Source organism: Homo sapiens, chromosome X, assembly GCF_000001405.40.
Source record: "Homo sapiens chromosome X, GRCh38.p14 Primary Assembly".
Classification (NCBI taxonomy): Eukaryota; Metazoa; Chordata; class Mammalia; order Primates; family Hominidae; genus Homo; species Homo sapiens.
In genome coordinates, this window is record NC_000023.11 from 18,613,147 (window position 1) to 18,626,710 (window position 13,564).

General features: G+C 39.3%; 1 protein-coding gene across 3 annotated transcripts in view; it reads left to right on the forward strand.

Moving 5' to 3' along the window:
• CDKL5 (cyclin dependent kinase like 5) overlaps window positions 1-13,564 on the forward strand; it is a 228,022-nt gene that overhangs the window by 187,539 nt on the left and 26,919 nt on the right. For all 3 annotated transcript variants that reach the window (NM_003159.3, NM_001323289.2, NM_001037343.2), the window contains 3 exons: window positions 6-129; window positions 6,721-6,820; window positions 11,982-12,101. In NM_003159.3, the coding sequence (NP_003150.1) occupies window positions 6-129; window positions 6,721-6,820; window positions 11,982-12,101 (344 nt within the window). The remainder of the gene's footprint in view (window positions 1-5; window positions 130-6,720; window positions 6,821-11,981; window positions 12,102-13,564) is intronic.

A 13,564-nucleotide genomic window follows, 5' to 3' on the forward strand; every position in this document is an offset into this window, starting at 1 on the left:
TTCAGTGCCATCTCCACGTCCAGACAATTCTTTCCATGAAAATAATGTGTCAACTAGAGTTTCTTCTCTACCATCAGAGAGCAGTTCTGGAACCAACCACTCAAAAAGACAACCAGCATTCGATCCATGGTGAGCATTTTGGTTTGTTTTTACTCTTCCTTTTTTTAATTGTAGATTTAAGAGTTGAAATAAATTCTGGATGAGCTTTTTAGTGTCCTTTCTCCTGCTAGGCCTTTTTTTCTCTAGATAAATTATTGAATAAGGAAAATGTGATTTTTCATTATTGGTAACTTTTTTCCAGTTTGGCATTTAGATTAAATATCATGTAAGGGAAAAAAAATCTCCTGGATTATTAAATACCTGATACGCTTTCCACTGTGTTGTTCTGATATGAATGATGACTTTTGCGGTCTCCTTTTGTTGACATTGAGCCAGGTACACTTTGCTTAGCATTTGATGTGCATCGTCTCAGTCAGTTCTCATAGTCACACTGTGCTTCCATGCTAGTGGCAGGGACACTGAAGCTTGGAAAAGTCGAGGAACTGGCCCGGTGTTGGACAGCCAGTAACATGGAGAAGGGAGCCAGGGTTCAAACTTAAATGGGCTCCGACTCCAGAGCTCATGGTTGTTACCTCTGTGCTACCTGTCTGTCATTCAGGGTAAAAAGAAATAGGGGAACAGTCCTTTATGCTACCATAAAAGCATAATGGTAATGAAAGGCACAAATGATGTGGCAACTTTTCTTATTCTTTTATCTTTTTTGTGTCGCATCTAATAAATATTTAGGGAGAGAATTACAGTTTTATCAAGATCCATTAGCAAATCTGTCTGAGGAGTAAGGACTTTAAGAAAAATAATAATGTAGACTTCTTCTCAACTACCCTGAAAGACTGCCCAGGTTCTCTACCAAGAGCATAAAATGGGACATCACTGTAAGACACTGGATTTGGAACAAGACCAGTCTGTCAGAGAGTCCCTCTCTGGTGTTTGTTGCCAGAAGTAACAGAAGGGCCTTATGTCAGTACTCCTGACTCCATGTGATGTCACAATTTGGACCCTGTTGATAAAGTTACATCAAGGTTTCAGTGTTGTTGTGCCCTATAGTGAAAATTACTTAATTATTCTTAAAACAATATAAAAAATGACTTCTTAAAAGCTATAAATACACTTTTGCTGTATAAGCACAATTTACATCCATTGCCTATTTATAAAATGACAGTCTTAATGTTCGTGACTAAGAGTTTAGACTCTGGAAATAGGATATCTTGGTTGATGGCAACTTGTCTATCAATCAGAGGACTGTGTCTATTTGTCTCTTGGTTTCCTCATGTGTAAAATAGGGCTAAGAATGGCACCTCCCTCATAGGGTTCATGTGATAATTAAATGAGGCAATGCATTAAAAGCACCTAGAATAATGCCTGGCTCCGTAAGCATTCATTAATGTTAGTGACTGCAGTTACTATCGTTGTCATCTAACTTCAACATCAGGTGTTTCCCCTCCATTTTGATGATAAACTTTGGTGTTCTTTCTCCATGTGACTGTTTTAAGCTCCCTAGTATATAGAAAAGATCTGCGAATTAACGTGAGAACACAAGTATAACTTCTTTACTTACCAGTGTTGACCATTTTCTGGTGTGGCTTTGATAAGTCATGACAAAATTGTCTAAATGGTGAGAATACAGAAGTGCAGAAGGAATTGGATTCTCTTGATTATTACATAATGAAGTGGTGATGATTTAAAAGAGTAACAATTACAGATTACCTTAGTCCTGTGAAAATTAGGTCAGATCAAAATTAAATCCAAATTTGAGATAGACAGTGTTAGTAATGTATTATTTCTGTCTTTTGATAATCAGTTTAAGTAGAACTTGTTTTACGCGTGGATATGTACAGAAACCTAAAAAGAGTTGTTTTAAAAAGAATGAGAGGCTCAATTGGGATGTTGAACTTTAGTTGAGTCTTCATCAGGTCATCCTTATTCTAGTATTGCTGTTATGAGACTTGAGAGTTCCAGAATTGCCAGTGATGAACTGGCTCTATTCTTTTGTTTCTGTTAACTCTTCGTGATAATGCTGCTATGACGTATTTCCTTCCTTCATCGCATCTCACTTAGTCTGTCATTAGTTCAACTTGACTCATCTTGATTTTTTTTCTTGAACAAGCTCTCGAATTGGTTCATCAGATTCTTCATATTTGAGAGAAATGCACATTTGGTAACTTACAAAAAACATCAAAGAGCCTTGTTATGGTAATATAGTGAATTGCTATTCTTTGTTGCGAGGGGATGGAGACAGGGTCTGGCTCTGTTGCCCAGGCTGTAATGCAGTGGTGCAATCTTGGCTAACTGCAACCTCTGCTTCCTGGGCTCAAGCTATCCTCCTACCTCAGCCTCCTGAGTAGCCCAGACTGTGGGTACATGCCACCATGTCTGGCTAATTTTTGTATCTTTTGTAAACATGGGGTCTCACTATGCTGCTCAGGCTGGACTCCAGCTCCTGAGCTCAAGTGACTGACTGCCTCAGCCTCCCAAAGTCCTGGGATTACAGGCATGAGCCACTGTGCCTGGCCGTGAATTGCTATTCCTAAATAATCTCTTACCTAAGGTCAGTCTGTTTTTCCTTGGTAGTTGTACTTCAGATTTACTTCAGGAAGAGAATATTTGTACAGTGTACCCCTTTCTTGCAATGGAAAAGTCAAGCTACTATGTTATATTTTAAAGCAATAAATAGATATTGCAGTATGATATCCAGAGCTGTTATTCTGGCCATCTCAGTTATGTAGAACCCACTTAAGAATCAGGAGATAGCCAAAATATCTCAGAACAAGCAAAATAGAGTTAATATGGTGGGATTAATCATCTTTACTAATAGGATAACACCCCTACCCTCATTTGGAGTCTGTTCTTCATTTATGCTCAGTTCTAGCAGGCAGCACTGAGGTTGTCAGGGCAAGAAATAGTTCAAGGTAATACTACAGTATGCAGAGGGAAAAGGATCCAAGCAATAGCTATGGAGAGAAGCAGGTTGGAAAATCATACATATCATAGATCTCTATGGAGTGTGTGTTTATAAAACAGGCAGCTTCACTTTGCTTTGAAAGACAAAATGTATAAATATGTTTAGAAAGACTGCTGTCAATTGGGTTAAAAATTGATGTTTAAAGAGTAAACCAAATTACTTAGAAATCCCACTAGTTGGCCAGGCACGGTGGCTCACTCCTGTAATCCCAGCACTTAGGGAGGCCAAGGCGGGCAGATCACCTGAGGTTGGGAGTTCGAGACCAGCTTGACCAACATGGGAAAACCCCGTCTCTACTAAAAATACAAAATTAGCTGGGCATGGTGGCGCATGCTGGTAATCCCAGCTACTCGGGAGGCTGAGGCAGGAGAATCATTTGAACCCAGGAGGTGGAGGTTGCGGTGAGCCGACATTACGCCATTGCACTCGAGCCTGGGCAACAAGAGCGAAACTCCGTCTAAAAAAAAAAAAAAGAAAGAAATCCCACTAGTTAAATGAAGAATTGCTGTAACTTGCACAATTCCAGCCTTCTTTTTCTCGTAAGGTTATGAATATATTGATATCCATTAGTGCTTGTCATCATAACTTTCAGAGTTACTCCCGTAGAATTATTCACTGACTCTCTCTTCTCACACATTAGCTAACCACGCTTATCACATCGCCAGGGGAGGGGCAGGTGGCAGAGAAAGTGTCACAGAGTAATGCTCCTCACCACTTCAGCTCACCTTCCATGCTGCTCTCAGAGGGATTATACTGAAGTCCCATAAGCCTGACCATGATGCTCCCCCGCCCCATTCCCTAGCTGTCAAACCTGTCCCCTACCCCCAACAAGAGTCTGTGAGCAGCTTGAGTGAGATCAGATTCGTTCTTTTATTTTTCTCTGTTTCTTCAACACCTAACACAGGGCCTGACATGTATAAAGTACTTGCTGAATGTTGGTTGAGTGATTCATTGGATTTTAATTCCTTCCTTTCTTTAGGTGAATCTTTGGAATTGTGTCTCCTCTTGGACCCTTATGGAAATAGCTGTCATGTTAGATAACGTTAGAGTCCCATGCCTGTGTGCCTGCTTACCACTTGTCTCATTGCCCTCCTCCCGTACTGTTTTGGTCCCAACTGCTGCTCTGGAGAAGGTGCCAGGTGACTGGATGAATAGTCCTTCTCAAAGCTTCTGTCTCTGAGATTGATGTGAACCCCCTATTTACCCTTCTTTTGTGCTGCTCCTCTTTACCCCACTCAGCACGAAGCTGCTGTCTTCCAGGTGGAATCACAGGGGCCAGAATGCGCAAATGAGGGAAATGACCAACCACACCCTTACCCATATGGCTCAGTTCCAGCTGTCAATGTATAACTCATTCTGCATTCCTTTATACAACACAGCTTTTCAAGTGCCTTTGTTCCAGCCAGCCTCTTTCCATCTGTCTCTGAGTCACTCTGTCAGCCTTTTCTCCCTTCCCTTTCTGTGTTAATTCTTTGGGTATGTATGTTTCTGCATAGCTTCTCGCTTGTTTTGTTTTTCCTCTCTGACATCCTTCTTTCTGTCTTTGGTGATGCAAACACACGCTTCGCTCCTAGTTTTCACCCACCAGTTCAAGGGTAATTTATTTCTTTTTTTCATTTGGCCTCTGGGATCTTTCTCTGCCTGGATCTTTGAAAATGTCCCAATCATTCCTCTATCCCCACCTGGGCTGTGGTTTATCCAGTGCCTCTTGAAAAGCCCCTGTAGAGGGTCTTTGGCCCATCTTCCCTGTGTCCTGGGGACCCAACGATGCAACATGCAAACTGCAAACATTGAGCTTTCCTTTTATTACCCTCCCCTTCTCACTTTCATCTTATTCACCGTTTCATCCTGCATAGATTCTCCTCTTACCATGCAAGATCCTACTTCCTCCTAGGACTGGTGTCTCAAGCCTTCATTTCCTCTTGTGCCAGCATTAACATTCTTACAGTAATGCCCATTCACATTCTGAGATGGCAGTCATGATGAATATGTCTTCCTTAAAGATTTGCTGGATTGGCAGAAAGCACTTTTACCCTCAACACACCTGTGGTATTTTGTGAGACTTTCATTCTGCTTGGTAAAAACTTCTACCCATTAATCTGAATATTCTGTTGTGCTTCTAGGTTGTGTTTTTGCAGATAGTATTGTGGAACGACATAGCTTTTTCATAAACGTATAATTCTTTAACCTCTAGAAGTTACAGAACGTTAAAAATAGTATTGCCATTTCTACTAGATGCTCTCTGAGGCTCCTTTCCATCCAGAGTCATGCTTTTGTGATTCCAGAAAACCCCACTCTTCTGCAGTGTTCCTTACCAATGGCAAGTGACTGAATGCTGTGTCTTGGAGTTTAGCTTACGACAGTCTGTCTTTAAGCCCCATGCAAGAGGGTTTCATCTCCTTAATTGCAAAAGAACTTGTCACAAGAAACTTTTACCAAATTCCCAGGGCCTAGGCCCAGTCTGTCATTGGGTTTAGAATGTTTTTCGCAACAATACAACACTACATTTAAAGACTCTTTTGGCTGGCCGCGGTGGCTCACACCTGTAATTCCAGCACTTTGGGAGGCTGAGGTGGGCAGATCACTTGAGGTCAGGAGTTCGAGACCAGCCTGGGTAACATGGTAAAACCCTGTCTCTACTGAAAGTAAAAAAATTATCCAGGCCTGGTGGTGCATGCCTATAATTTCAGCTACTTGGGAGGCTGAGGCAGGAGAATCACTTGAACCCGGTAGGTGGAGGTTGCAGTGAGCCAAAATCGCACCATTTTACTCCAGCCTGGGCAACAGAGCAAGACACTGTCTCAAAAATAAATAAATAAAAATAAAGACTCTTAAGTTTTCAACACTTACCCATTTCATCATGTCTGAAGTTTTCTGGCTTTCAAAATTATAAATGTATCATTCTGAGTTCAGAATACCTGGTGGTGTCAGTGGTATCAAGCTTAATGTCAGTATTTTCAGTTAGAAGCTTTTCCCCCCGCCCCGTGAAAGCTTTTTTTTTTTTTTTTTTAAAGAAACAGGGTCTTGCCGTGTTGCCCACACTGGTCTAAAACTCCTGACCTCAAGCGATCCTGTCCCAGCCTCCCAAAGTGCTAGGATTACAGGTGTGAGCCACTGCACCTGTCCCTACATTTTTTTCTTAACTATTTTTATTTAGTTTTAATAAATACATAAAAGGTTTAATAAGTAGGATATTTCCAGTTTCTGGCAAATTTTTACTTTCATTCAAGATGTTTTTATAGCTGTATTGATCTTTATGTTCAGTATCTTGACAAGTCGCTAATAATAAACTTGTCGAGCTGGTTTTTAAAAGGTAAATAGAAAAATGAAGGTAGGTGTTGAAAATGTTTTGCTCTTTCCCTTGTAGAGTTACAGAAAAGCCATCCTTTAAGCTGTGTACTTTTCATAATCTCAAACTCTGAGGTCTTCAACAGCATGGAAATAGTCTTGCAGCAACAGTTACAGGTCATATAATGCTCAAATTGCTCTTTTGAGTGAGCCTGTGCCAGAGGATAATCACTAACCATGGTTGATTAAATTTAGTTCCTCCTGTGCTTTTTTAGAGGCTCTTTACCCAAGTGTTTGATTCTTCCCGGCTATAGGAACCTAGTGTCATGCATTTTCAGTCCTTATTATATTTGTCACACAATGGCAAGAAAATGATTGAAAAATCAATATGATAAAAATGTCTTCTCATTTAGGAAAAGTCCTGAAAATATTAGTCATTCAGAGCAACTCAAGGAAAAAGAGAAGCAAGGATTTTTCAGGTCAATGAAAAAGAAAAAGAAGAAATCTCAAACAGTAAGTAGATGACCAGTTTCTATATATAATAACATGTTTCTGCATTATTCAATGGATACTTTACACTTTGCACTTGGCAATCAAAGTTGATTGTTTTCTTATTGAGACTTGACATTTTTGCACTGTATTATGTCTCTTTCTGAAATTCTTTACAACTATCCTCTCAACAGAGCCTTTTCTACATTCAACAGAATCTCCAGGAATAGAAGAAATTTAATTTGGATGACAGAGAACACTTTAAGCCTTTCTCAATATACTTCTTATCTATGTGGGCTTATATTAATGTAAAAACTTTGAAGACACAGGATTTGTTTCTCTCTGGGGATTTAAAGATATGCATAAACTTAGGAAATGGGTTTTGGTTTACTTTTAAATGTTGAAATTTGTAAATAACCATCATTCCTTATTCTCTCCTGGCTGGTTACAGAATTCCTACGTTGCCAGGTGTGTTTCTGAGTTATATAGTCACAAAGATCGTATCTGGGATTTTAGGGCTTGCGTTAGAAGGAAAATATGTTTGCCTTTTGATCGCGCTGTGGGTTGGAATGCACCTTATCTCCTGGGAGCCCTTTGCCTGAACAAAGAGCTGGCTCCATGGGACCGTTCACATCACTTCACTGAACCACCCAAGCAAGGATCCTGCTGGTTTAGTGACATGAGAACCTTGGGGAAACCCGGCCTGTAGGACAGCAGCAGGAGTAGTTCTTCCCCTAGATGAGGCTGCATCCCCCTTTTCTTTATGACAACTTCAAGGCTAAACAAGGTAGAGTTAGCCGTTTTTATTTATTTATTTATTTTAGAGACAGGGTCTCACCCTGTTGCCCAGGCTGGAGTGCAGTGGCATGATCTCAGCTCCCTGCAACCTCTACCTCCTGGGCTCAAGTGATCTCCCACCTCAGCCTCCCAAATAACTGGGTGCACGCCATCACACCCAGCTAATTTTTTGTATTTCTTGTAGAGACAGGGTTTCACCATGTTGCCCAGGCTGGTCTCGAACTCCTGAGCTCAAGCAATCTGCCCACTTAGGCCTCCCAAAGTGCTAGGCATGAGCCACTGTGCCTGGCCTAGTTAGCCATTTTGAATGGTTTTGGTTCTAGTTTTACTTCATACGTAATTTATTCTTATTTATTTGAAGAGGAAAAAGACACAATCAAAATGGCCTGTTCAGATGGACTTCACTGATTTCATCTATAAGTTTAGTAGATTAGACCCAGTGTTTCTGAGGCCCTTTCTATTATGAAAATTATAGAATTATGACTCAATGGGAAGTAGATTAGGTAGATGTTCATAGCAATGTGTATAAATAACCTGAAGTAAGCATTTTTATCTCACAGATGTTCTAGAAATGTTAACAAATACCTTCCTAGATAATCTTTCTAGATCATTCTTTCACTTGCTTGCTTGTTAAATTTATGTATTTCCTTATAAAATAAATATGAGTTCATTATAGAAAATTTGAGAAAAAGAAAAAGATCGTTTTAAATCTTAATACCCTACCACAACTAGTATTAGGATTTTGGTATATTTTCCTCCAGCTGTTTAGCCTATGCATATGTTTGTGGCAAGAAGGTGGGGTTTTTTTTTGTTTGTTTGTTTTTTAAGTTTTAAATTAGAGCAATCCTTTTAGTACGATTTTGTATTCTGGCTTTTAACAGTTTATCTATCTATATCTACATGCACAGAATATGTATGTTACTACAAATACTTTATTATCTTCAATCCTAATGGCTGCATAATATTTCTGAAGTAGTCATTAAAAAAACTGCCCATATTTTTAACTGAAGCTTACTTTTAAAGTGTCAAATCAAAATGCCACTCAGTCAGATACTACTATAATTGTTACTTAAACTGGGTGAACAAATAGACCTGATTTAACATAGGAATACTTAAAATGTTTAAAGTGTTAATAAAACTTTTATCATTGTCTGTAGAACATGTTTCTCTATCATGAGCGTTAAACTTTGGCTACCTCCTGACCACTGTTATTTTTATTTTGTGGTTTTTGTTCTAAACCACAGGTCTCCTGGCATTGTGGGGTGATTAAGTGGTAGAAAGTAGGAAAGATTAAGGAATTGAAGGTGTTTTTGTATATAGATTTAGATTTTGATGTTTACTGTAGAGCAACATTAAACCTAAAGTCCCTGGCTCACTGTGGCACAAGTAGAGTATACATGTTGGCTGACTTTATTATTCAGAATTTAGTTAAATTTTAGATATTTTAGTAATATAGATTAGAGTAAAAAGGAAAATAACCATTCTCTAACATCCTCTCGACTTAAACTTTTTATTAGGTTTTCATAAGTTTCCTTTTTGATATTAAAGTAACTGTAGAATATCTCTGCATAGGCCATAATGCCTTAAGCTTTACCAACCCAAAAGTTGTTTGTATCTCTGCATCTTTTAATTAAATGAAACATAAAATTTAAGGGCTTTGGGATTTCCAAAGAGCGCTCAGTACAGCCTTCCAAACCTCAGAGTCCTACGCCTGACATTGGGTTAACTCTGCCTACTTTGAATGAGCATTTAAACTGTTAATAGTTTTTCACTTTCTAGAACTCAGCAAAAAGAAACTACATAGAATAAGCTTCAAAAGATTTAAGGCATTGTGGCCTTTGCATAAGATTCCAAAAGAATGAAAATCTGATGCCCAGTGTACATAGAGACGCATGACATGTTAAAGCTGAGGTGGATCCTAAATCTAGTTGAATTTTTTTATTCACTGGTATAGGAACTGAGCCCAAGCAAGTTGTGGGCTTGCTTCAAAGCCCAAAAATCACATAATCAACTGGGAGAACCAGAACTGCGTTCTCCTAAATACCAAGTCCAGGCTCAATTCATACCATGGACCCGCCTCTGTGGGGAGCCTCTAGGAGCTCTCCTCTGGCCTCTTCAGCGATGCAAGTTAAACTCTTCCTCGAGGTTCCTGTCATTGGAACAAGAAAATTTGTGGGATGTTTTACTCAAATCCCTTTTTACATATACCCTTAAAAGATTACCTAAATACTTGAATACCTTCATAGACATTCTAGTTCTCTGACAATTGAGATATCCAAAACAGGGAAAAGTGGTGACAAAAAAAAATAATTCTGTATTGTAAAGGTGCCTGCTTCGACTCAAGCAAATCTGGAAGCTGCCTTGGGAAATCTGGCTTTGGTTACATATCCAGAGTTACATAAGTCCTCAGAGCATATGGTGACTTTGCCAACTTGGTAATTGTATCCTAGTTAGTTAGTATCTCAACTTGTGATGATGCTTCCATTTAAATATTGAAATTTCTGTTTCTTCTCTTTGAAAACCAGTATCTGAATTGTGCTAGATGTTTTCCATTGGGTAAATATTTCTAGCAGTACAGAACAAGGCCTCTTACTCAACATTAGTATCCCACCACAGTGATCAATACCTCTTCCTAGTGATGTTTTCAGGCTTAAAAGTTGACCAAATTCGAAAGGGTTTCCAGTATGTTGGGATTTTTTTTCTCCTAATAGGCAAATTACATGGTAGATTTTTTACTTGCTGAAGTCCTCTCTAGCAATTAGGAGAAGATTGAAGTTTATCAGTAGCTCTTTAACACAGTTCTTTATAACCATATTTCTGATAGTAAGTAAAAATTATTTAACGTTTTATAAGCTTAATGTGAGTAGGTGTGTCTAGGTCTCTTGGCATTCCTACTAGAGGTATTGATCATGATCTCACATTATATACTTAGAAGAAGTTTGTGCTTGTCTTGAATTTGCATTATTGACATCTTCACATCCAGGTGAGAATTGGCACAGAAGCTCTAGATGCACAGCACCGAGATTCTTTCAGTGACTGTTAATATTTAGCAATTTGAGGGCTTCCAAGGGCTAGTAGTTTCAATAAGAGCACTTTTTTTTTTTTTTGCAATTAGTTTATTTGTATCTTATATTGCAGACAGATTCCACCAACGGGGAGAATCCAAGCATCAAGAAATCCCTCTTTCCTCTTTTTAATTCAAAGAATCATTTAAAGCATAGTTCTTCTTTGAAAAAGCTTCCTGTAGTCACTCCACCCATGGTACCCGTTTTTATGTATGGTAGCCCTGAAAACTGCTCCAGTAAACTTGTTTTACTGATGACAACAGCATGTCTTATTTTCATGAGGTCATATTCTCTTTATGCTAGTTAAGTACGTGAGCCAGTTCCATAAATTCACTGGGATATAAATTCATTGCCATTCTTCTGAATCAGTTAAGAAAGTTGAAGCACAAAGTCTATTAAGCAAACAAACTAGTGAAAGGCTAGTTTGTCATGTCTGATTAGCCAGTTATGGGCAGATAACATTTATAAAAGCCTGTATTTTATGTAAGGAATTCTGTTAACATTTACAGTTAACAAATATCTTTGCATTTGACTCACAGAGTTTGTTAACACTTGATTGGCAATTTGTCTTTTTGAAGCCAAGTTGAATTGACCAAATTGAATGAGCTAACAGGCTCCATGAAAAAACAGCTTGTTTCCTTGTCTGGCTTGAGCTTTTGCTGGTCAGTTTAAAACCAGGGCTTTTGCTTGGCATTTGACATTACTCTTCTGTGTTCACCAAAACTGGTGAATAGAGCAATTGCATTCATCTGGAATTTGTGGCACAGATTTCCAGCATTTCTCTAGTACATAATGATAGATCCAGATATATCAGACAGTGGTTTGGGAATATGATCCAAACCATACTTTCTCACTTTGCTATCCTTGAAAGCCTACCAGACTTCTTTGGCACTACCATATACAGTGTTTGGATCATTTTCCCAGCAGGAAAAAATTTCTGTTTTATTGAACTGGTTCACAACCTAACTGCAATATGGAATGAGGATACGACAGCAATTCCTGGTACAGCCCTATTTAACTGCTCTCTCTTACAGCGACTAAAACTAACAGCATGGGAATGCTTTAAGGGTTGAGGTTTAACAAAGCTGCATGACATCTGCCAATTTTTCCTAATGCAGGGAAAATTATTAAGAGGGCAGAAGAATTTAACTAGCATCACTTGCATTGTGAACATTGGGAGAGATTGGGGTTCTATTTTTACTGGGTTATTTGAGTTTTGGTTTGGTTTGCTTTTTAGTTTGGTTCTCCTCTTGGGTGTGGTTGCATATCTTAATTAGGCTTCTCAGTGTGCTTATTGAATGCTTGTCCATATTTTGCTCTAGGTACCCAATTCCGACAGCCCTGATCTTCTGACGTTGCAGAAATCCATTCATTCTGCTAGCACTCCAAGCAGCAGACCAAAGGAGTGGCGCCCCGAGAAGATCTCAGATCTGCAGACCCAAGTGAGTGGATCCTGCACCACTGCTAGACTCTCCAACTCTCCAGTAACTGTCCTGAGGAGCGGGGAGGGCATGCTAGAGAAAACTTAGCCTCTCAATGTTACAGTAAGGCTGAGCACCTCCTCAAAATAGACCCTCAGTTATAGCCAGATGCATCTCGTGAGCCAGGATGAATCTTGCTTCAGTGACCCATGTTCTACTGGGAAAGATGCAAGCTTCTGTTAGCCTTCACCTAGCTGGAGGCAACTGAAGATGTAGTCCCAGCCCATAAATACAGCCCAGGAAAGAGCTGAGCTGTGTTAAAGAACCATAATTCATGGTAAAAAATGAGGCATGCCATAACATTTCAGGCAGGATGAACACAGATGGTGGGAAGATTAAGGTTTCATTAAAAATAATAGCATACAAATTGAAAGACAGGTATGATAAGTTTTCTTGAAAGAATATTTCAACTCCTGAAATCCATACTGTTTTTGACAGGAAACAGGCAAACAGTTGCATTAGGAACTACATATTAGACTGTATTATATAGTCACATTTATCTTCCGTAATGGAGGAATAAGCAGAAACTGAATCAGTAAATTTTTCAGGTATCTGAGGTTTATCTCCTTTAAACAACTATTTTGGTTGGAAATTTTGTAATGTATCTTTTCAGTATCCCATAATGAGCATTTTGTTTTTTGATATTGAGTATTTTATAAATCCTTTATTCTTCTGCACTATAATTTCTGACAATCCTCCCGAGCTTTTGAGGCTATAGGATTACTTGTGTCTGTGATTTCTTGTGTCACAGATTTCTGTGATTGGGAGAGCGGACTACTGTTTTTTTTTTTTTTTTTGAGACAGGGCCTCAATCCCATTGCCCAGGCTAGGGTGCAATGGCACAAACTCGGTTCACTGCATCCTTAACCTCCCTGTGCTCAGGCAATCCTCCCACCTCAGCCTCCCAAGTAGCTGTGACTATAGGTGTGCACCACCACACCTGGCTAATTTTTCGAATTTTTGGTAGAGACGGGGTTTTGCCATGTTGCCCAGGCTGGTCTCGAACTCCTGGGCTCAAGCAAGCCACCTGCCTCTGCCTCCCAAAGTGCTGGGATTACAGGGATGAGCCACCATGCCCAGCCTCTGTTTACTCTTTTTAACTGTAAGCTGTTGCATAGAACTGCTGGCAGAAGTTCCCCATATTCCCATTCTATTTGCCCCAGCCATTTATATTTTCTGCTTCTAACATAATATAAGCTGGGGATGGTGGAAGCATAGAGAACCAGATATCCAAGTTTATTGGATATGTATGCAAACTAAAGAGACAAGCCTCTGAGTGAGGGCCTGCTTCTCTATTCCCAATTTCAAAACAAAACAAAAAGAATAGAGAGCTTTAGAACTTTCTTTGTGAAACCATTTCTTTTACCAAGAAGCCCTCTCTCTCTCTCTCTCTCTCTCTCTCTCTCTCTCTCTCTCTCTCTCTC